Source organism: Homo sapiens, chromosome 10 (assembly GCF_000001405.40).
Source record: "Homo sapiens chromosome 10, GRCh38.p14 Primary Assembly".
NCBI classification, from domain to species: domain Eukaryota; kingdom Metazoa; phylum Chordata; class Mammalia; order Primates; family Hominidae; genus Homo; species Homo sapiens.
The window spans coordinates 70,287,912-70,309,709 of record NC_000010.11 but is presented as its reverse complement, the minus strand read 5'-3'; the positions used below and the strand labels follow the sequence as shown (position 1 = coordinate 70,309,709).

The following is a 21,798-nucleotide window of genomic DNA, read 5'->3' as shown; positions in this document are numbered from 1 at the left end:
GCTCCTGTTCAGCCTCCTCTGGAGAAACTGGGGAAGGATCAGTGGTCTTCAGTAGCGGATGGGGAGAAGGGGTGACAGCAGCTCTGAGCCACCATTTCTCAAGTGGGAATATCTTGACAACTGAGGTTGTGATCTCTTAGCCCGGGCTTCAGTCCTTACTGAATCGCTCAGTGAAACTTGCCTGTCATTGTTATCTTCTGGGGGCCGGGGGCCAGTGCAAGGAGACCAGGTTCTGGCCTTGGCCTTGCCCCTCTGCGTTGTGTGTTGAAGTGTATGGGCTCTGGGATCAGGAACTGTCCTGCCTCCACCACTTACTGGCGTGGCAACCTTGGGCATCAAGAAACTGAGAATCAAGTTTTCTTACCTGAGAAATGGGTCATTGTGAGGAACTGTCTAGCATAGGGCCTCAAACATCAGTTCCCAGAAGCAGCCTGCTTTGCTGGGCCCATTTAGACAAAGGTGCTACACCTCCTTGCGCCTTGATTTCCTCCTGTGTCCAATGGAGTTTGATGCCCCATGAAATAAAAGCCAAGTGCGAGGGGTCTTTCTTACTCTGGGTGATCAGGGGCAGAGGGGATGGCATCTGTACCCCTGCCCACGCTGCTGGCTGTGCCGCTGGGGAATGGCTGCAACAGAACTCCTGAATATGAAGATGTGCAAGAGTCCAAGGAATTAGCCCTTTTCTTCCCAGCCATTATTAATAGGGAAAATGGGGGCCCTGCTTGAAAGAAGAGACTCAAGAACTACCATAGGCAGCACCTTTCTTTAGCCCCCACACCCAGCAAGAGGCTGGGACGAGCGAGGCCAGGCTGCTGGCAGCTGTGTGGTATGACATTTGTACCCACATGAGCTCCAGAGAAAGCGAAGGAGGTGAGTGGGCACTCCTAGCACTTGTTCTTTCTTTTCCTCTTCTCCGAGGAGTCACGTCTGCTTATAACCCTGCCTTCTGAAAACAGCCTGTCTCTGCGTCTTTTCCTGTCTGAGCCTCCATTTGCCATGGACTCCTGGCCTCTCCCACCCCTCCTTGCTGGCTCGCTCGCCTGTCACATGGTTCCTGCTCCAGGCAGGTGATGACCAGCCCCTCCCTGCCACACCCCCCAACCCCGGCTGCCCTATAGCCAGTCTTCTTATTGGGGACACAGCTCCTGGAGTAAGCAATTCCTGTGTCCCCCAGCATTCAAGGCCGTGGACTGGGCCCCTGGTCTCATACGCAGAGCCTGCCTTCAGGGAACTGAGAGGCCAGGTCACCCCAGAGTCTAAGGGTAGGCAAGCTCCTCCCGTTAGGGAACCTGGCTGCCAGTTTACGGGGCCCGGGGACTCCTGCATAGCGCTTCTCTGTGGTCAAGAGTCTTCTCCGTCTCGGTGTCAGCCTTGCTACCCACTGGCTGGGTGACCCCAGGCAAAATTACTTCCTCCCACTGAGCCTGGGTTTTCGCAACTTTCAGGACCCTCCTACCTCCTGTGGTCTCTCTGCCATGATCTGTACAGCTTCTTGTCAATGGCCTATGAATATCAGTATGTCCAGGAACTTTCTTGTTGGTGCTCTCAGCGGAGGCCAAATCTGGGGCTTTGGCCTTCTATGAGTGGTGGTGAGGGGCTCCGGGAGCCATAGTGCTTTTAGGAGACATCTGAGGCTCAACCCTTGTTCCTTTCTATGTGAGCCGACATCTGGGTTATCTGGGTGGTGAACTCAGGCTGAGACTCTGCTGGCCAAACTCTGTGGGCTTATCCCCAGGCATCTGGGCTGCTGCTCAGCGGATGCAGGCCCCAGACCAGTGACAGGGAGCAGGGAACCTGCACTAGCTGGACACATGTTGCTGGAGCACTGTGCTGTTGTACTGCATGCAGGCATCTTGTCGACTTCTGGGACCTCCCTGCAAGGTGAGCAGTATGACTCCATTTTACAGATGAGAAAGCTCAGGTGCAGGGATCCTGCCTGAGGCACCACAGTCACTGGAAAGCCGGGCGTATCCTTCTGACTCCAGAGCTTGTTTATCTTAATAACCACTACCCACCCACTCTCAACTATCATGTGAAGCGAAGGATCTGGGGGCCTTTGCCTAAATAAGGTGGTGGTGTTTTCTAAGCTCCAGGCTTCAGCAGTGTCATGGACAAGAAGGGATAGATTTGTTCTATGCTGTGACCCACAGCAGAACAAGGAGGCCTGGAAGATTCTAGAAGCAATTTGAGAACATCTCCAGGAAGCTCTTTCTCTCAGGACGGGTCAGCAGCCTCTTTGAAAGCCTTTGTTGGGGGTGCAGGATAGGAAGCTCCTGGGAGATTCAACAGGAATTCTAGAGAGCAGTTAGTGGAGGTATATACACATATTCATTGACAGAGCAATCAGTCTTGCTCCTGGGCATATATCCAAAGACTTTCCCACATTGGCTCCTAAGGACAGATAGAGGCCACTTGGGTGTCATTGCTGGCAGAGTAGAGAGGTACAGTGTGGTGGGTGCACAGCATGGTATACTAAGCAGCAGTCAAAAGCAGATGGATTCGATGTACACAGTCCTCGTGGATGGAATGTAAAACACGGCTTAGTCAGTCACACTTACTATTGGGCACTAATACTCTTCCCCATTGAAAGGAACCAGGACTTCTTGGAGAAGTGGCTGATTCCAGGGCTGGGAACAGGGAAGGCTCAAGACGTGTCTTCCTAGAAATTCAGGCAGTGCATCCAAAAAGTGCTGGAGCCATGTCAAAAGATACAGGAGCCAGGCCAAAGGGGCTCCCAGTGGTCAAATCTGGACAATTTGAGCATCAGAATAATGAAGTCCAATAATGAATTGTAAATCACTAGAAACATAGGAGTCTATATTGATAATAGATACATGGAAGAGAAGTAGAATACTGAGGACTGTTGACATTAGGAAATCATTTTGCAGCCATCATAAAGATCAGGTCAGGTAAGAATCTTTAGTGGATGCTAAGTCTAAGGGTGATGAATGCTAAATGTTGGTGAGAACCAACATTTAGGATATTTGCACGCTCTTAAGATGTGTCCCCACAGACTTCTTGTTAGATGCAAGGGAGAAAAAAAACACACAATAGTAATTATATAGTGGAGAAAGCAAGTTACACATTGATCAAGTGATCAAAAGTAACAATAGAAATGAATTTGGTGTGCCTCTGATGTGATACCCCAGGAAGGACATGCACCTGTGCAGTCTTCAGCTGAGGATGCGAAGTCTCGGTTGAATCGTGAAGAAACACCAGACAAACACAAAATGAGGAACTTTTAAAAAGGGAAGGGGGCAGTGCACTACTCCTCCAATATCAATGTCATAAAAGACAAAGGGGCCCAAAGAGTTAGAAGTAAATGCAATCCTTGATTCCAGACTGGCTCTGGTACTAGAGGGGGAAGTGCTGTACAGGATGTTAGGGCACCTGACCACACTGAACTGTGGGCCATGGGTTAGATACACATTCTATCAATGTGAATACCTGGAACCCTTAACTGCACTGTGGTTATGTAAGAGAATGTCCCAATTCCTAGGAAATATACACTGAGGGCCATGACGTATGTATGGTACACTCAAATGATTCAGAAAAAAAGCGTGTGTGTGTGTGGGGTGGGGGAGAGAGAGAGAGAGAGAGAGAGAGACAGAAAATGCATGCACAAATGATAGAGCAAATAGGATAAAATGATAACAATTGGCGAATCTAGGTCGGGCGCAGTGGCTCACGCCTTGGAATCCCAGCACTTTGGGAGGCAGAGGTGGGCAGATCACAAGGTCAGGAGATTGAGACCATCCTGGCTAACACGGTGAAATCCCGTCTCTACTAAAAATATAAAAAATTAGCCGGGCGTGGTGGCGGGCACCTGTAGTCCCAGCTACTTGGGAGGCTGAGGCAGGAGAATGGCGTGAACCCGGGAGGCGGAGCTTGCAGTGAGCCGAGATCACGCCACTGCACTCCAGCCTGGGTGACAGAGCGAGACTCCATCTCAAAAAAAAAAAAAAATTGGCAAATCTAGCTAATGGTCATCTGGTATTTTTGCTAGTTTTTATTTTTAGTTTTGCAACATTTTATACATTTGAAATTATTTCCAAAGGAAAAAAGGAGGGGGGAAGAGACTTAAGACAATAATATTCAACTTTTCTGAGTAAAAAAATTTAAGACTTCTGAAACTGAAAGTCCTAAAGACATTTGAATAAAAACGTGGCCCATGCTATGTGGTTCCATTTATATGAAGTTCAGGAATAGACTAAATTAATGATGAAGAAGATCAGAGGGTATAAACTGGAAAGGGGCACAAGGGAACCCTTTTGGGGGTTCTTGAAATGTTTTCTATTTTTATCTGGGTGGGGGTCTCATACATCTGGGTATACATCACATATATACCCAGAAGAATGGAAAGCAGGGTCTCGAAGAGATATTGGCGCACTCATGTTCTTAGCAGCATTGTTCATCATAGCCAAGCGATGGGAACAACCCAAGTGACCATGGACAGGTGAACCTCAAGGTTCATTCACGTTATGACATGGGTCTGAAGTTTCTTCCTTTTTATTATTTATTTATTTAGATAGAGTTTCGCTCTTGTTGCCCAGGCTGGAGTGCAGTGGTGTGATCTCGGCTCACTGCAACCTCCACCTCCCAGGTTCAAGAGATTCTCCTGCCTCAGCCTCCCAAGTAGCTGGGATTACAGGCATGTGCCACCACACCCGGCTAATTTTTTGTATTTAGTAGAGACAGGGTTTCACTGTGTTGGTCAGGCTGGTCTCGAACTCCTGACCTCAGGTGATCCACCTGCCTTCGCCTCCCAAAGTGCTGGGATTACCGGTGTGAGCCACCGTGGCTGGCATTTCTTCCTTTTTAAGGCTGAATAATCCTGCATTATCAATGCCACGTGCCATAATGTGGATGAGCCTTGAGGACATTATGCTCAGTGGCATAAGCCCGTCACAAAAAGGCAAATACTATATGAGTCCACTTATATGAGGTACCTAGAGTAGTCAAATTCATGGTGGTTGCCAGGTGCTGGGAGGAGGGAGGGATGGGGAGTTTTTGTTTAAATGGGTATAGAGTTTCAGTTTTGCAAGATCGAGTTCTGGAGATTGGTTGTAAAACAATGTGAATGTGTCCATGCTGCTGAACTGTACACCTAAAAATGGTTAGTATGGTAAATTTATTTGTATTTTACCACAATTAAAAATTAAAAATAATATTTAAAAAAGATTGTTATTGGTGCTTAGTAAAATATATATATATATATATATATATATATATATATATAAAGAAGTGGCCTGATATCTATATAGCACAGTACCATTTGCCTAAAGTAAAATATGTGTATAATATCCATTAGTGTGTTCTAAAATTAAACACAAAACAACCACAAAAACAAAAAGCCCCCAACCGTGGGCAATATTTTGTGCCTAGGAGAGGACAGGAGCTGGCTCTTGCCATCACTATCGGCCTGAGGTTGTGTCGGACTGCATGGGATGAGGTCTGGCCCCGTCCTGTGCTAGGGTGGGAGGTTTTCTGGGATCCGGCTGCTCACGGAATTGGATCGGGGAAGAGCGGATGCAGCCAGAGCCTCAGCTTGCACAGGGCACGCGTCGAGGGCAAGCGTCCTAGTGTTGTCTGAGTGATCCTAAAGGTTAGGTGGGAGGAACTATAACAGGTTACCAAGTGTTAGTATAGCTGCTGCCTTATTCTGGTCCTTTAAAAAAAAAACTGAGGCGAAATTCACATAACATAAAATTAACCACTTAAATTAACCACATAAAGTGTATAATTCATTGGCATTGAGGACATTCACAGTGTTGTGCAATCATCACCTCTATCTAATTCCAAAATACTTCTGTCACCCCAAAGGAGTCCCCATATCCTTTAAGCAGTTGCTCCCCAATTTAATTCTGTTTGAGGAAATATTAGTTATGTCCATTTTCAAGATTAGGAAAACAAGGTACGGGAAGTAATACAAATTTTTAGGTGGTAAAGCTGGGGCATCAGCTTAGGGCTGTCTTAAATTTCATGTCTATGACACTAGGCTGTGCTGCGTCTTCAGTTATAACTGAGAATATTGGACCTGGAATTAATTATAGATCACTACTATCTTTATATTTATTACACTGTGGCATTTTTGATGAGTGTTGGAAAATGCCCTAGTATCTTATGTAAGTTAGGTGGATGACAGCTTGAAACTTGATTTCCAAATTCTACACGTTAAATTTTGGAAACTAGAGCTGGGACAGGAGATATGTTTGTTTTGATTCCAGAGGACATTCCATCTCTAAGTGATGATCCAGCATAGTGATGATCCAATATAGTCTGGAACTTCCCAGATAGCTCTTATGGAGCAGTGATATAGGTAGGGCACATTATCAGGAGTCCTGATAAATTCAAACTGTAACTAACCTCCCTTAGATAGACCCAAGATAGTCATGTCTGCTTCTTTAGGGACTCTTTAGGGGTATGATGGAGCAGATGGCATGATAGAGTGGCATTCCCATAGTTAAGAAGAATTTCCATAGGCCACTGTATGCGACTTCCTCTCTCTTGGCAAAAATATTCTTTATGCACATAATAGTCTTTGTTTTTTAATAGTTTTATTGACACATACTATACAATTCACCCATTTAATATATGCAATTCGGTGGTTTTGGCATATTACATTATTTTTTAATTGTGATAAAATATATATAACAAAATGTGCCATTTTAACCTTTTTTTTTTCTTTTAAGAAATAGAGGGCCGGGCGCAGTGGCTCACGCCTGTAATCCCAGCACTTTGGGAGGCCGAGACGGGCGGATCACGAGGTCAGGAGATCGAGACCATCCTGGCTAACACGGTGAAACCCCGTCTCTACTAAAAATACAAAAAATTAGCTGGGCATGGTGGCGCGCGCCTGTAGTCCCAGCTACACGGGAGGCTGAGGCAGGAGAATGGCGTGAACCTGGGAGGCGGAGCTTGCAGTGAGTCGAGATCGCGCCACTGCACTCCAGCCTGGGCGACAGAGCGAAACTCCGTCTCAAAAAAAAAAAAAAAGAAATAGAGACTGGGGTCTCACTATGTTGCCCATCCTGACTTTGAACTCCTGGGCTCAAGAGATTCTCCTGCCTCAGCCTCCTGACTAGCTGAGACTATAGCCTGGCTGATTTTAACCATTTTTAAGCATACTGTAGCTCAGTGGCATTAATTACTTTCACCATGTTGCGCAACCATCACCGCTATCTATTTCCAAAATATTTTCATCACTCCAACAGAAACTGTAGCTATTAAGCAATAAATCCCTACTTCCCCTTCTCCTAGCCCCTGGGAACCTCTGTTCTACTTTCTGTTTCTATGAATTCAACTACTCTATGTACCTCACATAAGTGGAGTCATACGGTATTTGTCTTTTTGTGCCTGCCTTCTTTCTTTAGCACAATATTTTCTCTTTTTTTTTTGAGACAGAGCTTTGCTTTGTCGCCCAGGCTGGAGTGCAGTGGTGCGATTTCCCCTCACTGCAACCTCCGCCTCGTGGGTTCAAGCAATTCTCTGCCACAGCCTCCCAAGTAGCTGGGATTACAAGCACCCACCACCATGCCCGGCTAATGTTTTTGTATTTTTAGTAGAGATGGGGTTTCACCAGCTTGGCCAGGCAGGTCTTGAAATCCTGACCTCGTGATCCACCCGCCTCACCCTCCCAAAGTGCTGGGATTACAGGCGTGAGCCACCACGACTGGCCTAGCACAATGTTTTCAAGGTTCATTCATGTTGTAACCTGTATCGGAATTGCGTTCCTTTAAAAGGCTACATAGTATTCCATATATCATATATATATGGACATATATATGGACAACATAGTATATATCATATTGTTTATCCATTCATCTATTGGTGGACATTTGACTATTATAAATAGTGCTGCTATGAACATTTGTGTAAAATTATTTGTTTGAATGCCTGTTTTTAATTCTTTCAGTTCTACCTAGGAGTAAAATTGCTGGGTTGTATGGCAATCCTACGTTTAACTTTTTGAAGCAGTTGATTCTTATTTTTAAGGATGCTTTCCTCCATGTGGTTGTTATATCCTGGTGGGCCCGATGGCCCTTTGCACAGGGCTGGGCACCAGGAGCTGAGCCCACGTGCAGTGGGCAATGGAGAGCTGCCCCTCACCATCAGGTGCTCAGAGTCCTCATGGCCCATTGTCCTTCTTTTCTGTCTGGTTGGCCTCCACCACTCTAACCTGTCCATTCTGTCCCCAATAGATGTGCCCGTGGAGAAGCTGGCCGCCATGCCAGCCTTGCGCAGCATCAACCTCCGCTTCAACCCACTCAACGCCGAGGTGCGCGTGATCGCCCCGCCGCTCATCAAGTTTGACATGCTCATGTCTCCGGAAGGCGCAAGAGCCCCCCTACCTTAGGCCACCCTCCTCATGCCCACCCAGCAAGGGGCAGAGGCCACAGGCCTGGAACCCTGGAAGGGAGGGAGGCCCATGGGAGGCCAAGCCTGGGGGCTGGGGGCGGGTGGGCCGAGCAGCACGTGGTGGGTGGGGTGCAGCTGGTCTGGATAGATAGCTTACAGCAGTAGTGGGCTCTGGAATGCCCAAGGGAAGAGGCAAGGTGGGGCCTGCAGCCTGGACTCGGCACTCACAGCTGCTGTGCAAACTCAGGCAGATCTCCTGCCCTCTCTGAGCCTTGTCACTTGAAAAAAACAGGACCCTTTCCCTCCTTTGGGCTCCCTGGAGGTTTTTAAGCAGTACGTGCCTCCAAGTTACCTCCAGATCAGCAGGCACAGGTGGGCATTGCCAGGTATTTTCTGAGCCCCTGCGGGTTTGAGGCCTTGTTTTTAGTGCTGAGAGCCAGTTGCTGCCCTGAGAAGAGAAGACAACCTCCATCTATTTATTGCTTCCTGAGAACTGACCTGGATGCGGCCCTCTGCAGGGCCCAGTCTTCAGTCCTGTGGTCCCTGGACTGGTGGGAACCTGAACTAGGAGTCCTGGGAGAGCTGTGGTGGGAATATGGGCTGGCACTGCTGCAGGGCAAGAACATTCATGTAGGAGCCCGAGGACCAGCAGGCTGGGAATGGGGAGCAAGTCACGTCAGCTCTGTCATTCCCCACAGTTAACAAATTGGCGGGGTGGGAAGTCCTGAGTGCTCCGTCCCTCTAGCATCACTCCTGAGCTGCGGGAGAGGTGGCCCAGAGAACAGCAGAGTCAGTTACACCTGCAGCTCTTGTCTAAAGTGATTAGATGGCCACCCTCACCACTGTCCAGTCCAGCAGCAGCCTGGCTGCCTTGTCATGGCCTCCTGGGGGCAGAAGGCGATGTGGACCACGGGATTTGTAGCCAGCCAGCTCCCAGGCCAACGCCCAAAGCCCTGATGACCTGGTTCTTCTGAGGCCCTCAACCTGGCATCTTAGGGTATGGTCAGGCAACAGGGTGACCAGCTGTCCTGGTTTCCCAGGACATGGAACTTTCAATGCTAAAACTGGGACAGTACCCAGCAAGTGGGGATGGTTGGTCCCCTACCAGGAGAGGGCCTGGGGCTCTTGCTTCCCGAGAACGCCTGTGGCTTGAAGAACCTTGACTGCTTGGTCCTCAGGTATCTACCTCCCACCTTCTCCTCATCTGTGGAGCAAGCCAACTCAGTGCCCCAGACCCCACCTGATCTGCATCTTTGTTTGCATCTCCAGAGACACCTGAGGCCCCAGAGCTTGAGGCAAAGCCAGGCCGTCCAAATCCTGTGTGCCGTGGACGAGTGGCCACTTTACTACTCCTAAGGCTAAGATGTTGAGAGCTCAGACCACTGCTCAGAGCAGTAATCCCTGCTCAGAATGCTCCCAGTTCCCTCGTCCCTGCCCAGGTCTCTTGTCTCTTGGGAAGGAACTGATAGGTCGGGCCATTGTTGGGCCATCACTGAGCGCTCAGTATCTCAAGAGACTCTGTTCATTCTGCTCGTATCCCAAGGCCTGGTTGGTCAAACTCTGGGCAAAGGGTTTTCAGGATGAGGAGGTCAAGACAGGATCTCCAGAGCTACCGAGTTCATCTGTGGGTGTTGGGGGCAAGTGGGGGCTGAAGTCCTGTGCAGGCTGCGCTGGCCCCACCTGCCTTGTGCCCTGGAGTGGGGTTTCTCCTTGTTGAAGAAGAGGCATCCTTCTCTGATGTGCACAAACACAATGTATGACCAGAGCCTTGCAACTCAAAGTGTGGTCTGTGGACCAGCAGCGGCAGTGACACCTGGGAGCTTGTTAGGAATGCAGAGTCTAGGCCTCACCCTATACCTCCCGACTCAGACCCTGCATTTTAGCAAGACCCCCAGCTGATTCCTATAAGCACTTTAGAGTTTGAGAAGCAAGGACCTAGGCTGGGGATGTCCTCCGAGCAGAGGGTGAAGTTTCTCTCAGTTCTCTCCCTGCCACTTCCAGGGATCTGAGCCTGTGCTCAGCCTCCTCCCTAACCCACCCTGGGAGACACTTGGCCTGTTAGATTGTTCCAGAGTCTGCATGGCACTCCTGAAGAAGGGAGTGTGACCTGCAGTCACCAGGAGATGAGGGTTAGGTGTGCCCAGCCCTCCAGACCCGGCCTTTCTGGTTAACCCCTGCATGCCAAGCTGCCTGCTGCCCCAGGTCCTCACCTCAGGCCTTTGAAGGGGCAGCTTCTGGAAGTTGTTTTCTCCTCTGCTTGGAGAGTTTGCCCTTGTCTGTCTTGGAAAGTGTGGGCAGCCACAGATGCCCCCAAATCAGAGCTCACAGTGAGTGAGCCCCTAAGCTTCAGTCTGCAATAAAGAATGCATTGGTTTCATCTGCCTGGTTGGTGTTTGATTCATTCTCACTGTACAGACCTCCTATAGCCTGGGCGTCAAACCAGCCCACATGCAAGAGGGGTGCCCTCTTGTTGAAAGCACGAGGTAAAGAAGGCTAGAACGGGATGAAACGTGGATTATTCACAGGTGGGCACAGGTGCAGCCAAGCAGAATTGGTGCGTGCCCCCCAGCTGCGTTACTGCAGGATGGCTAAACATCAGGGGGAGACTGTGTATCTGGGAAAGGATGAAGAGACCCACTATCTCCACATTTCTCTCTTACCAGTGCCAGAAATTATTCCCTTAGTAATTTGTTCCTCTGAGTCCATGGTTCTCAAAGAGGGATCTCTGGGCCAGCAGCATCCGCAGCACCAGGAAGTTAGTTAGAAATGCGAATAGTTGACTCCACCCTAGATGTGCAGAATCTGAAACTCGGGGATGGGGCCCAGCACTCTTAACAAGCACTCCATGTGGTTCCGATGCCTGCTGAAGTTAGAGAACTACTGCTCTGGGTTCAATGTTAAAGTCAGGTTTTGCTTTTCTTAAGTCTGAGAGGCCAGCTTAAGTTTGCCTTGAGTTTTAGTCCAGATGCTCCATTGTTTCTAATTATTATTATTATTATTACTATTTGAGACGGAGTTTCACTATTGTTGCCCAGGCTGGAGTGCAATGGCGTGATCTCGGCTCACTGCAACCTCTACCTCCCAGTTCAAGAGATTCTCTTGCCTCAGCCTCCCAAGTAGCTGGGATTATAGGCGCCCACCACCATGCCTGGCTAATTTTGTATTTTTAGTAGAAATGGAGTTTCGCTATGTTTGTCAGGCTGGTCTTGAACTCCTGACCTCAGGTGATTCACCTACCCCGGCCTCCCAAAGTGCTGGGATTACAGGCATGAGCCCACTCCCAGCCGATCCATTATTCCTTTTATTTTATTTTTTATTTTTGAGACGGAGTCTCACTCTGTTGCCCAGGCTGGAGTGCAGTGGCACGATCTCAGCTCACTGCAACCTCCACCTTCCAGGTTCAAGCAGTCCTCCTGCCTCAGTCCCCTAGTAGCTGGGATTACAGGCATGCGTCACCATGCATGGCTAATTTTTGTATTTTTAATAGAGACCGGGTTTCACCACGTTGACCAGGCTGGTCTTGAACTCCTGGCCTCAGGTGATCCACCCGCCTCGGCCTCCCAAAGTGCTGGGATTACAAGTGTGAGCCACTGCGCCTGGCCCAATTATTTTTATTTAACAAACACACATAGAGCTTAGTGGGTACCAGGCAGTGTCTTAGTGCATTATACCTATTAACTCATTTAATCCCTATAACAATCCTAGCTAGCTTTGTGATTTGGATAAATCTCTTTTCCTCTCCAGGCCCTGTTTCCTGTCTGTAAAACTAAGGGGCTAAACCAGGAGACCCCTAAGGGCATTTCCAGAACTCATATGGTCACTATTTCTCAGCTCCTGAAGGCCCTGTGATCACTTATAACTGCCCCCTGTGGATTAGCCTGGACTCAGGCCGCTGGCCTCCCCCACCCCAAAGGTCAGAGGTCAGAGAGAGGACTCCCACCTGCGTAGTTTTCTGTTGAAGGATGCCTCACCGAAAACATCACCAGATCCACCTGTTAATCAGGAGAAGCTGATTCTACTTTTCCTGCTCGAACTTGACAGTTTTCCTAGCGTGTCAGACTTGGGAAGACAGTCAGGAAGTGATGAGAGATTTCAGAGTTTGGTTTTAGGTGGGACTTTCAATGCAGAGAAGGAAGCCTCGATTAGGATTGGGTAAAGATCAGGACATAGTTTAGGATCGGTGGACACAGCAAAGGGGGATTTTGAGGCAAAGGGTTCAAAGAGTCTTGGTGCGTAAACTCTCTTTTGATGTGATTAAGAGTTGATCAGTTTGCTGTTGCTTTAAATGATTCCTTCAGAAAGCTCCTGGAACGAACAGTAAAGTTATTTACAACTTTTTCTTCCTGGGCAAGAGTTTCCAGGACTAGTACTGTTATGCTGGAAAAGATGGAGGAATAATGTGGACGGGAAGCTGTGTGGGGCTACAGGATTCTAATTGTAGTCTCACCCAAATACCATGTTGTACCCCAGAGCCCCGCTTTGGGTCTGTTCTTCACATGAGATGTGCCCGTCCCTTCACAGAAAGCCAGCCCTGGGAAGCAAGCAGCAGTTCCTGAGCGATAATTGGCACCTGCCCCAGAAGGCCTCGGCAGAGCCCTGAACCAGATGTGAAGGGCAGGAAGGGCGGGCCTGGGGGAAGAGCGTGACTCAGGCAACTGGGCAGGAAAACCTCTCCAGCCCATGAGCAGCCAGGCCGTGCTCTGACTGTGTCTCCAGGCCAGGCAGGCTCGATCCATGCCTGAGAAAAGGGACATAGCCGAGCTGCGTTAGGTCCAAGCAGGAGCACCCCTGGAGCTCCTAGTGTTTTATCAGCACCAGGCAGGCACTGGTATGTGGTTTGGGTTTTTTTGTTTTTTGTTTTTTTGTTTTTGACGCAGAGTCTCGCTCTGTCACCCAGGTTGGAGTGCAGTGGTGTGATCTTGGCTCACTGCAACCTCCACCTCCCAGGTTCAAGTGACTCTTCTGTCTCAGCCTCCCGAGTAGCTGGGACTACAGGCGCGCACCACCATGCCCGATTAATTTTGTATTTTTTTAGTAGATACAGGGTTTTGCCATGTTGGCCAGGGTGGTCTGGAATTCCTGACTTCAGGTGATCCGCCCGCCTCAGCCTCCCAAAGTGCCGGATTACAGGCATGAGCCACCACGCCTGGCCCAGTGTGTTTCTCATTTATTGTTAACATCACCCCTCTTGGTGCCCACTCTATGGATGAAGAAACAGGCTTAGCATGTGACTAGGAAGGAGCAGGGCTGGGGTTGGTTTAAACTGGGTTGCAAGTTCCGGGTTTTTGCTGTGAGCCCCGGGTCCCTCAGGAGGCCAGCTTGGACTGAAGTGGTTGATTGCTTTCTTTAGCTGACACGGTCCTTCTACCAACCCATTCCTGTGAAAAGACCTCTCTGAAGCTTTACTTTCCTCATCTATAAAGTGGGTGCCAACACTACCTTTCCTAATCCCATAGGGTTAAGAACAGGTGACAAAGGTAAGTGCATCAGCATGGTGCCCAGTTCACACTCCAGAGAGTTTCCTCTCACATCTGCTTGTGCCCACCCTTAGGCATAAGGCTGTGTGGGCACAGCCTTTAGTGCCCAGATAAGAACCTCACCTCTCTCAGTGCCGTGCAGATCTGCATGCCACACATACCTGGAGCTCATCTGGCCAATGGGAGATTTAGTCCCACAGAGGATGAGAAGATTGACAGTTCCCCGCTCCCTCCATCTTCATAGTTCAGGAATCTACAAAGGCTCTGTCTCAGGCCTTTGAGGATGATGAAGTACTCAAGGCGTTGGCTGGGAGCCAACTGGAGCCCTTGCTACCCTATGTGTGTACATTCAAGTTCATGCCAGCAGAAGCACCTGGGAACCCTGCTTCCTGTAGCTGGGAAGCACTTAAGTTGGGGTGCCCTCCAGGGTGGACTCTGCAGGACTACCCCAGTGCATGACTGCAGGGGGTGTCACTCACAATGCAGTCTCAGTAACTGGCACCATTTGCATAGAAAACTGTGAATGGGCCACCTGGCGCTGTGCTAGGGCTGGTGCTGCATCTATGGACTATTTCCAAGAGAACCAATCACGGGAGCTTTCTCAAATGTAGATTACCAGACCTATATGAGCCCCATTAAACCAGACTCTGGAATAGGACTCATACCTCTGCACCTTAAAAGGTCCCTATTCATCCTTCACACAGCGCGCAGAGGATCCTTCTAAATCCCAACTCTCTCATCTGCTCCGAGCCCTGCCATGGCTCTCCACTTATTTCAGTATAAAAGCCCAGGCCTTACCATGGTCTTCGAGTTCTGGAATCACCCGCCCTCTGTTACTTCTGTGGTCTCTTTCGTACTCCAGACACACTGGCTTCCAGCTGGTCCTCCAACACCCCACATGTGTTCACTTCTCAGGGCCTTCGCATTTGCTCCCCACAGCCCTCACACACCCACCAAGATATTCCCATGGCCAACTCCCTTATTTCCTTCAAGTCTACTCAAATCGAGGTCTACCCTAACCACCCTACTGCAGCCTGCCCCGTTGCACTTCTGTCACTTTTATCTCCCTTAACCTGCTCACCTTTTCCTTTATCTATAGTGCTTCTCCAATATACGCTATAATTTACTTATATCTATGGCTTCTTGTCTGTCTACTCTCGCTAGAATAAAATTCCTATGAAGGAAGGATCTTTGTCCTTCTTAGTCTCTGCTGTGTCTCCAGCACCTGGAGTGATGCCTGGCTCATAGTGGGTACACATGTATGTTTACTGAATGACTGAATGGACAGGTGGTTGATATGCACTGATGCTTGGGGGCCTCTGCTTGTGAGAGAACTGCCGTGTGATATCCACTTACCAGCCCAAGTTCAGGTACCATATTAAATACCTGTGCTCACCAGCAGAGTTTGCTTCCAAAGGACTGAAAAACACCAGGAAGTCTTCCTCACTTTGGTCTTTCCAGACACTCACAAGCCATGGTATTGTGGCTGGGGCTTTTCCTAAGTGGGGTGGCCAGGAGTCAGTGTACATGAGCTAAGAGAGAACAGTCAGTCCCCAGTGCTGTCCCTTAGCCTGCCACTGTGCCTGAAAGCCCACCAGGATGAGACTGCTGCTGTTGATGAGGCATTGCCCTGTCCATATGATCTTATTTTAACCCCTGCCAGGATTCAGAAGGGAATTCCTAGTGGACCAGGCCCTCGCTACTCAAAGTGTGGACCTCAGACGATCAGCATCAACAGCACTTGGGAGTGTGTTAGAACTGTAGTGTCAGCCGGGCGCGGTGGCTCACGCCTGTAATCCCAGCACTTTGGGAGGCTGAGGCAGGTGGATCACTTGAGGTCAGGAGTTCGAGACCAGCCTGGCCAACATGGCGAAACCCTGTCTCTACTAAAAATACAAAAATTAGCCGAGCATGGTGGTGTGAGCCTGTAATCCCAGCTACTTGGGAGGCTGAGGCAGGAGAATTGCTTGAACCCGGGAGATGGAGGTGCAGTGAGCTAAGATTACGCCATTGCACTCCAGCCCAGGAAACAGGAGCGAAACTCCATCTCAAAAAAAAAAAAGAAAGAAAAAAGAAAAGAACTGTATTGTCTAGGTCTCTCCCCAGGCCTATTGAATCAGAATCTGCATTTTAACAGGATTCCCATGTGATTTGTGGGCATGAATGTCCTGCCAGCTGATAAAGTCAACTTGGGGTTATTTTTTTCTGCCGGACAGGAATCCATAAGTTAACAAGTAACCTCACAGAGTCTGTGCCTTTAATTAATAGTAACTAACAAAGTTACAGTGGTACATTCTCACAGGCAGGCCTGTTGAACAATGCAGTTATCATCTTTGTCTCTTTTCTAGATTTTGGGTCATATTTCCTTGTAACAGATTCCCCTGGGAGGGTATCTTGAGCGTTAACATTCCTGGGACCAAATTTATCAGCTGCTCCGTGTTTCTCTTAGAGAAAGGCAAGAGCCACCCAAAGCTTGACGTGAAAGGAAAAAACCAGAGGTGTCAAAAAAGAGTAGAGGAAGTGAAAAGCATCACCAGCAGCTCACCAGGTGTCTGTGACCACACTAAGTGCTCTCCACTTCTCACCTCGTTTAACCCCCACAGCAACACAGGAGGCAGCTACTATTATTTCAATTATATAGATGAAGAATCTGGGGAGAGGAGATGTTCAGCCTGGCCAAGATCGACATTAGTCGAGGCTGGTGGCTGGGGGCACAATTCAGATTCAATTCAGATCCAAATCCAGCCTTTTTTTTTTAAGAGACGGGGTCTCATTGTGTTGCCCAGGCTAGAGTATAGTGGCACAATCTCACTGCATCCTTGAATTCCTGGGCCCAAGCGATCCTCCTGCTTCAGCCTCCTCAGTAGCTGGGATTACAGGCACGTGCCACCATCCGCAGCTAACTTTTAAATTTTTTCGTAGAGATGGAGTCTTGCTATGTTGTCCAGGCTGGTCTCAAACTCCTGGCCTGAAGAGATCCTCCTGCCTCAGCTTCCAAAGCACTGGGATTACAGGTGTAAGCCACCATGCCCAGCCTCAAATCCAGAGCAGAGTCCATGTCTTGTAGAATTGGTGTCCAGGGCCCAAGAAATGGTTTACAGAAGGCCCCATCTAAGCTGGAGGAGGCCCCAGGGCTGCCCCAGCTATCCCCGATAACTGCCCACCTCTTCCCAAGAGGCTTCACCACTTTCCCACCACCTTGTAGAGATGTGTTTTTCCTGATATAGTGGCCTGAATCCTTCTTGACCTAGTAGTGCTCACCCAAAAAGCTCTCATTGCACCCAGGGTGCAGAACCTAAGACAGCTGGAGTTCCTCAGGGCATCCCAGTCCACCCTAGGAAGACTCCCTGCATGCAGATTCTCCAGAGGAGAAGGTGAGCTGTCAGAGGGGAAAAGTTCTGATCCAAACCTCTTCTGCTTCGTAGATGGGAACCCCAAGTTCTAGAGGGAATGTTCCACAGCGTTCAAGAGCAAGTGGAGCAACCCACCCAAGGATGTGCAGGGAGTTGGTGGAACCCAGACGAATGCCCAGGTTTCCTGGCTGCATGCTCTGGGTTCTTTCTGTGGCCCTCACTGGGCGCTGGGGTTTGGGAGCTCCTCTACGTGGCACTCCTGGCATCTCCTCTGTGGCCACTGCTGCCCCGGCTGTGCTGTGGAAGTGAATCAGCCATTGGAAACCTCACTTGTCATTTATTAATGCAGATAATGATGCTGACCTGCTTCCCTAGGGAGAGCTGATTAATAAGCATTTTACAACCTTTTGAAGCAACTGCTCCTCCGAGGCTGGTTAAGGAGATGGAGGGATGCCTCCTGGCTCCTAGGAAGGGACCCCACTGCTGCCTAGGTCTCAGCCTCTCTGCAGCTCCCCTGGCCTTGCTTTTCAAGGGGACAGTCCCTCCTTTCACACCACCATAAACAAACACACTGAAAATGCTGGGGATGTGCTGGGGGTCTGACTCCAGGGGCCATATTTTCACCACACGGAGACCCCCCCTTTCCTGTGGATTCTGTGCCTTTTCAAAATGGTAGCTACACCAATGGACTTCCTTGCCCCAAAGGCCCGTGTGCATTTCCAGCCAGCGAGAGATAGACTGTCTCCATGGGAGGTGCCTGGCTTCCCCACCACAGGGGAGGTATCCCACAGGGCTGTCTTCAGCCTCATGCCAACCCTTCTCCCGGGTACCTACCAACCCTCTCAGGCATCTCGGAACACGCCTCCGACTCTGCTTAGAGGATGAGGAGTGTGTGTATGAGGCCAACACAGGCCTTGTGGGTTCCATCAACACCCACTGAGGGCCTATGACCAGGGAGGATGCTAGGACGGGGCCTGCTGCTGTGCAAGAGAAAGGGTCTCTGCTCTTGGAGGGCATTAGGGACTCAATGTGTCCCTCAAAATTCCTATGTCGAAGCCCTAACCCCACAATGTGACTGGAGATAGGGCCCATAGGAAGTAATGAAAGTTAAGTGAGGTCCTGGGGTGGGGACCTGATCTCCTTGGATTAGTGACCTTATAAAAGGAGACACCAGGGAGCTTCCTCTCTCTCTTGTGTGCACACACCAAGGAAGGGCCATGGGAGGACATGGCGGGAAGGGGTGTCTGCAAGTCAGGAAGAGTACCCTCACCAGAAACCAAGTCAGCCGGAACCTTGATCCGGGACTCTCAGCTTCCATAACCATGAGAAAAAAATTTCAGGCTTACACCTGTAATCCCAGCACTTTGGGAGGCTGAGGTGGGCGGATCACAAGGTTAGGAGATCGAGACCATCCTGGCTAACACGATGAAACCCTGTCTCTACTAAAAATACAAAACAACAACAACAAAAAATTAGCTGGTGTGGTGGCACACGCCTGTAGTCCCAGCTACTCAGGAGGCTGAGGCAGGAGAATCGCTTGAACTCAGGAGGTGGAGGTTGCAGTGAGTCAAGATGGCATCACTGAACTCCAGCCTGGGTGACAGAGTGAGACTCTGTCTCAAAAAAAAAAAAAAAATTTCTGCTTATTTACCACACAGCCTGTGGGAAGTTCATAGACTAGCCGGGGAAACAGGCGTGGGAAGAGAAATATGACTGGAATGTCCTAGGCAGTAATTCTGAAATCTTGCTGCACATTGGAGTCACCTGAGAATCTTTAGAAACTCCTGATCTGGGACCGGGCATGGTGGCTCATGCCTATAATCCCAGCACTTTGGGAGGCCGTGGCAGGTGGATCACTTGAGGTCAGGAGTTCGAGACTAGCCTGGGCAAAATGGTGAAACCCCCCGTCTCTACTAAAAATATAAAAATTAGCCGAGCGTGGTGACATGTGCCTGTAATCCCCGCTAACTGGAAGATTGAGGCAGGAGAATTGCTTGAGCCCAGGAGGCGGAGGTTGCAATGAGCCAAGATCACACCACGGTGTTCTGGGACAGGGTCTTGCTCTGTCACCCAGGCTGGAATAAACAAACAAACTAACAAACTGATCTGGTTCCCACACTGAGACATTCTGATTTTATTGGTATGGGGTGTGATGACTTCAAGTCTCCCCAGGAGATTCTAAAGTGCAGCAGTTTGGGAATCACTGATCTAAGAGCTATTCTAGATGTGGGAGCAGAGAGGATGGGACAAGAGACAGGCTGATGGGCAGGTGAGGAGGGGGACAGGAGAGGGAGCACCAAAAGATAGCCAGGCAGAGGGCATAGCACATGCCAAGGCGCGGAGCAGTTAGTGGAACAGCAAGGTGCTCAGTGAGGAGCGGGTCAGGTGGGAGGGAGAAGCGGTAGGATTGCAGGGTGGGGAAATGGACAAGGACTGGGCCGTGGGCATCTTGGGTGGCCTGTGGAAGAGATTGGGTTTAACCAGGAAGTACCTGGAAGTCTGCAGGGGAATGGAAATGGACGGTGAGGGGCATGATTTGGGGAGATCACTGGGGAGAGTATGGTGTGTGGACCACAGACAAGGTCATCATTCATTCATTCACTCACTCATTCATTCATGTCTCCCGCAGTTGACCACAAGCTCTATGAGACCAGGACCCTTGCGGCAGGTAAGAAGCCGAGAAGGGTTGCGGCAGTGATTCTCTATCTTGCCTGAACATCAGAGTCACTTGGAGAGTTTTGAAAAATCACTGATGTGCAGACCCTATCCAAACAGAGATGAATACAATTGAATTGCTCTGATTCCACAGAATCAAGCGAGCTTCAATTAGTCTGCGTTAGAGGCTCAGTGCCAGTGATTTTTCTTAAAGCTCCCCTATACAATTCTAATGTGCAGTCAGGATTGAGAATTCTTGGTCTCTAGAGATGTTAAGAAGTTGCAAGAGGGTTTAGAGCCAAATTCAACCCATTGATACATTGTTTGGCCTGTACCATGTTTAAAAATAATTGTGAATTTGTTGCCCAGCATTTTTTAATTGGGAGCTGAAATTTTTTATGAAAAATATCTGGAGGCCAGGCACAATGGCTCACACCTATAATCCCAGTGCTTTGGGAGGCCGAGGGAGGCAGATCACTTGAGGTCAGGAGTTCAAGACCAGCCTGGCCAACATGGTGAAACCCTGTCTCTACTAAAAATACAAAAATTAGCCAGGCGTGGTGACACGCACCTGTAATACTAGCTACTTGGGAGGCTGAGGCAGGAGGATCGCTTGCACCTGGGAGGCAGAAGTTGCAGTGAGCCAAGATTGTACCACTGCACTCCAGCCTGGGCAACAGAGTGAGACTCTGTCTCTAAATAAATAAATAAATAAATATCTGGATTTCTGGCTTTCTATTGTCTCCTTTGGCTGCCCTCACTACTCCCGAGAAAGTCTGATTCTGAGATCACCCTCCACCTCCTCCTCCACTGCTCCTTTTAGATGCTTCTCCAAGCAGGTGTCCACATGGATTCCAGTGTGCACAGGAGGCTTTCCCCTTTTAAAGAACTTCTCAATTCCATTTTCTTCCTGCCACCTCCTGGCATCTAGCTTTTCAGATGGAAATCAGTTTCCAGGATGGTGGGGCTTTCTGCAAAAAGGCTCCCTAAGCCACAGCACATGTGCCCAGCTGTAGCTATTGGAGGTGGGGTGGGATGGGGAGTAGCTCCCCTGAGGATGAAGGTGCAGGTCAAGCTCTTGGGCAGAATGCATGCAGCTGGAAACCCTGCAGGCCAAGGAGGTGGTGGGGCTCCTTGAGATGGACAGGGATTGCTTCTACACCTTGGATGGGTGCACCCTTAGCTTTCTCAGATGCTCTCCCAAAGGGCCAAAAAAGTTGAGGGAGGCAGGGCCAGTGCCCAAGGAGTCCAAGGGAGTGTTCTTGGCCTCCTCTCCTCTCTCTTCCACTCTAGCTGTGTAGTATTGGGCAAGGCATTTCCCTTGATTCCTTCATCTGTAAGATAGGAGCAATGGTGACTTGTTTGACTGAAAGACTCTGCATCCAAGGTTCAGGGCAGAGAAGCGCCCCAGCCCTGCAGTCAGGTGAACTTTGGAGAAAAGCATGATCTGCAATGGAGAATAATGTTGCCTTAGGTTTCCTGGGAGCTGCTTTGGGGTAGGGAGGTATCTTGGTTTGCTAGGGCTGCCATAACAAAATACCACAGACTTAAACCCAACGTTTTTGGCACCAGGGACTGGTTTTGTGGAACACGATTTTTCCACGGACTCGGGGGTGGGGGCTGATGGTTTGGGGATGAAACTGTTCCACATCAGATGATCAGGCATTAGACTCTCATAAGGAGTGCGCACCCTAGATCCTGTGCATGTGCAGTTCACAACAGGATTTGCGCTCCCAGGAGAATCTAATGCTGCTGCTGATCTGACAGGAGGTGGAGCTCAGGCGGTAATGCTCACTCACCTCCTCCTGTGCGGCCCAGGTCCTAACAGGCTGTGACTCAGGGGTTGGGGCTTCAACAACAAAAATTTGGACACTCCTGGCTTAAACAACAAAAATTCATTTTCTCACAGTTCTGGAGGTTAGAGTCGAAGATCAAGGTGCTGAAAGGCTTGGTTT

The 21,798-nt window shown here is 49.4% G+C and overlaps 1 protein-coding gene across 17 annotated transcripts in view, besides 2 other annotated features; it reads left to right on the top strand.

The window, feature by feature from the left end:
- LRRC20 (leucine rich repeat containing 20) overlaps positions 1 to 10,735 on the top strand; it is an 83,651-nt gene extending 72,916 nt beyond the window's left edge. For all 17 annotated transcript variants that reach the window (NR_103467.2, NR_103468.2, NM_001278214.2 and 14 more), the window contains one exon: positions 8,202 to 10,735. Coding sequence is in view for 15 of the 17 variants with exons in the window: in NM_001278214.2 (NP_001265143.1) it covers positions 8,202 to 8,356 (155 nt within the window). In the remaining 2 variants the exon portion in view is untranslated. The remainder of the gene's footprint in view (positions 1 to 8,201) is intronic.
- Positions 16,145 to 16,264: an enhancer, noted in NCBI's record as "active region_3500". NCBI's record gives its function as "activates an Ori minimal core promoter by ATAC-STARR-seq in GM12878 lymphoblastoid cells {active_cell/tissue: GM12878}" and the evidence as "EXISTENCE:reporter gene assay evidence [ECO:0000049][PMID:35858748]".
- Positions 17,910 to 18,120: a silencer, noted in NCBI's record as "fragment chr10:72051346-72051556 (GRCh37/hg19 assembly coordinates)". NCBI's record gives its function as "represses an EF-1alpha promoter that drives an FKBP-Casp9 reporter gene in an ReSE screen in phorbol 12-myristate 13-acetate-treated (for megakaryocytic differentiation) K562 erythroleukemia cells {active_cell/tissue: K562(+PMA)}" and the evidence as "EXISTENCE:reporter gene assay evidence [ECO:0000049][PMID:32094911]".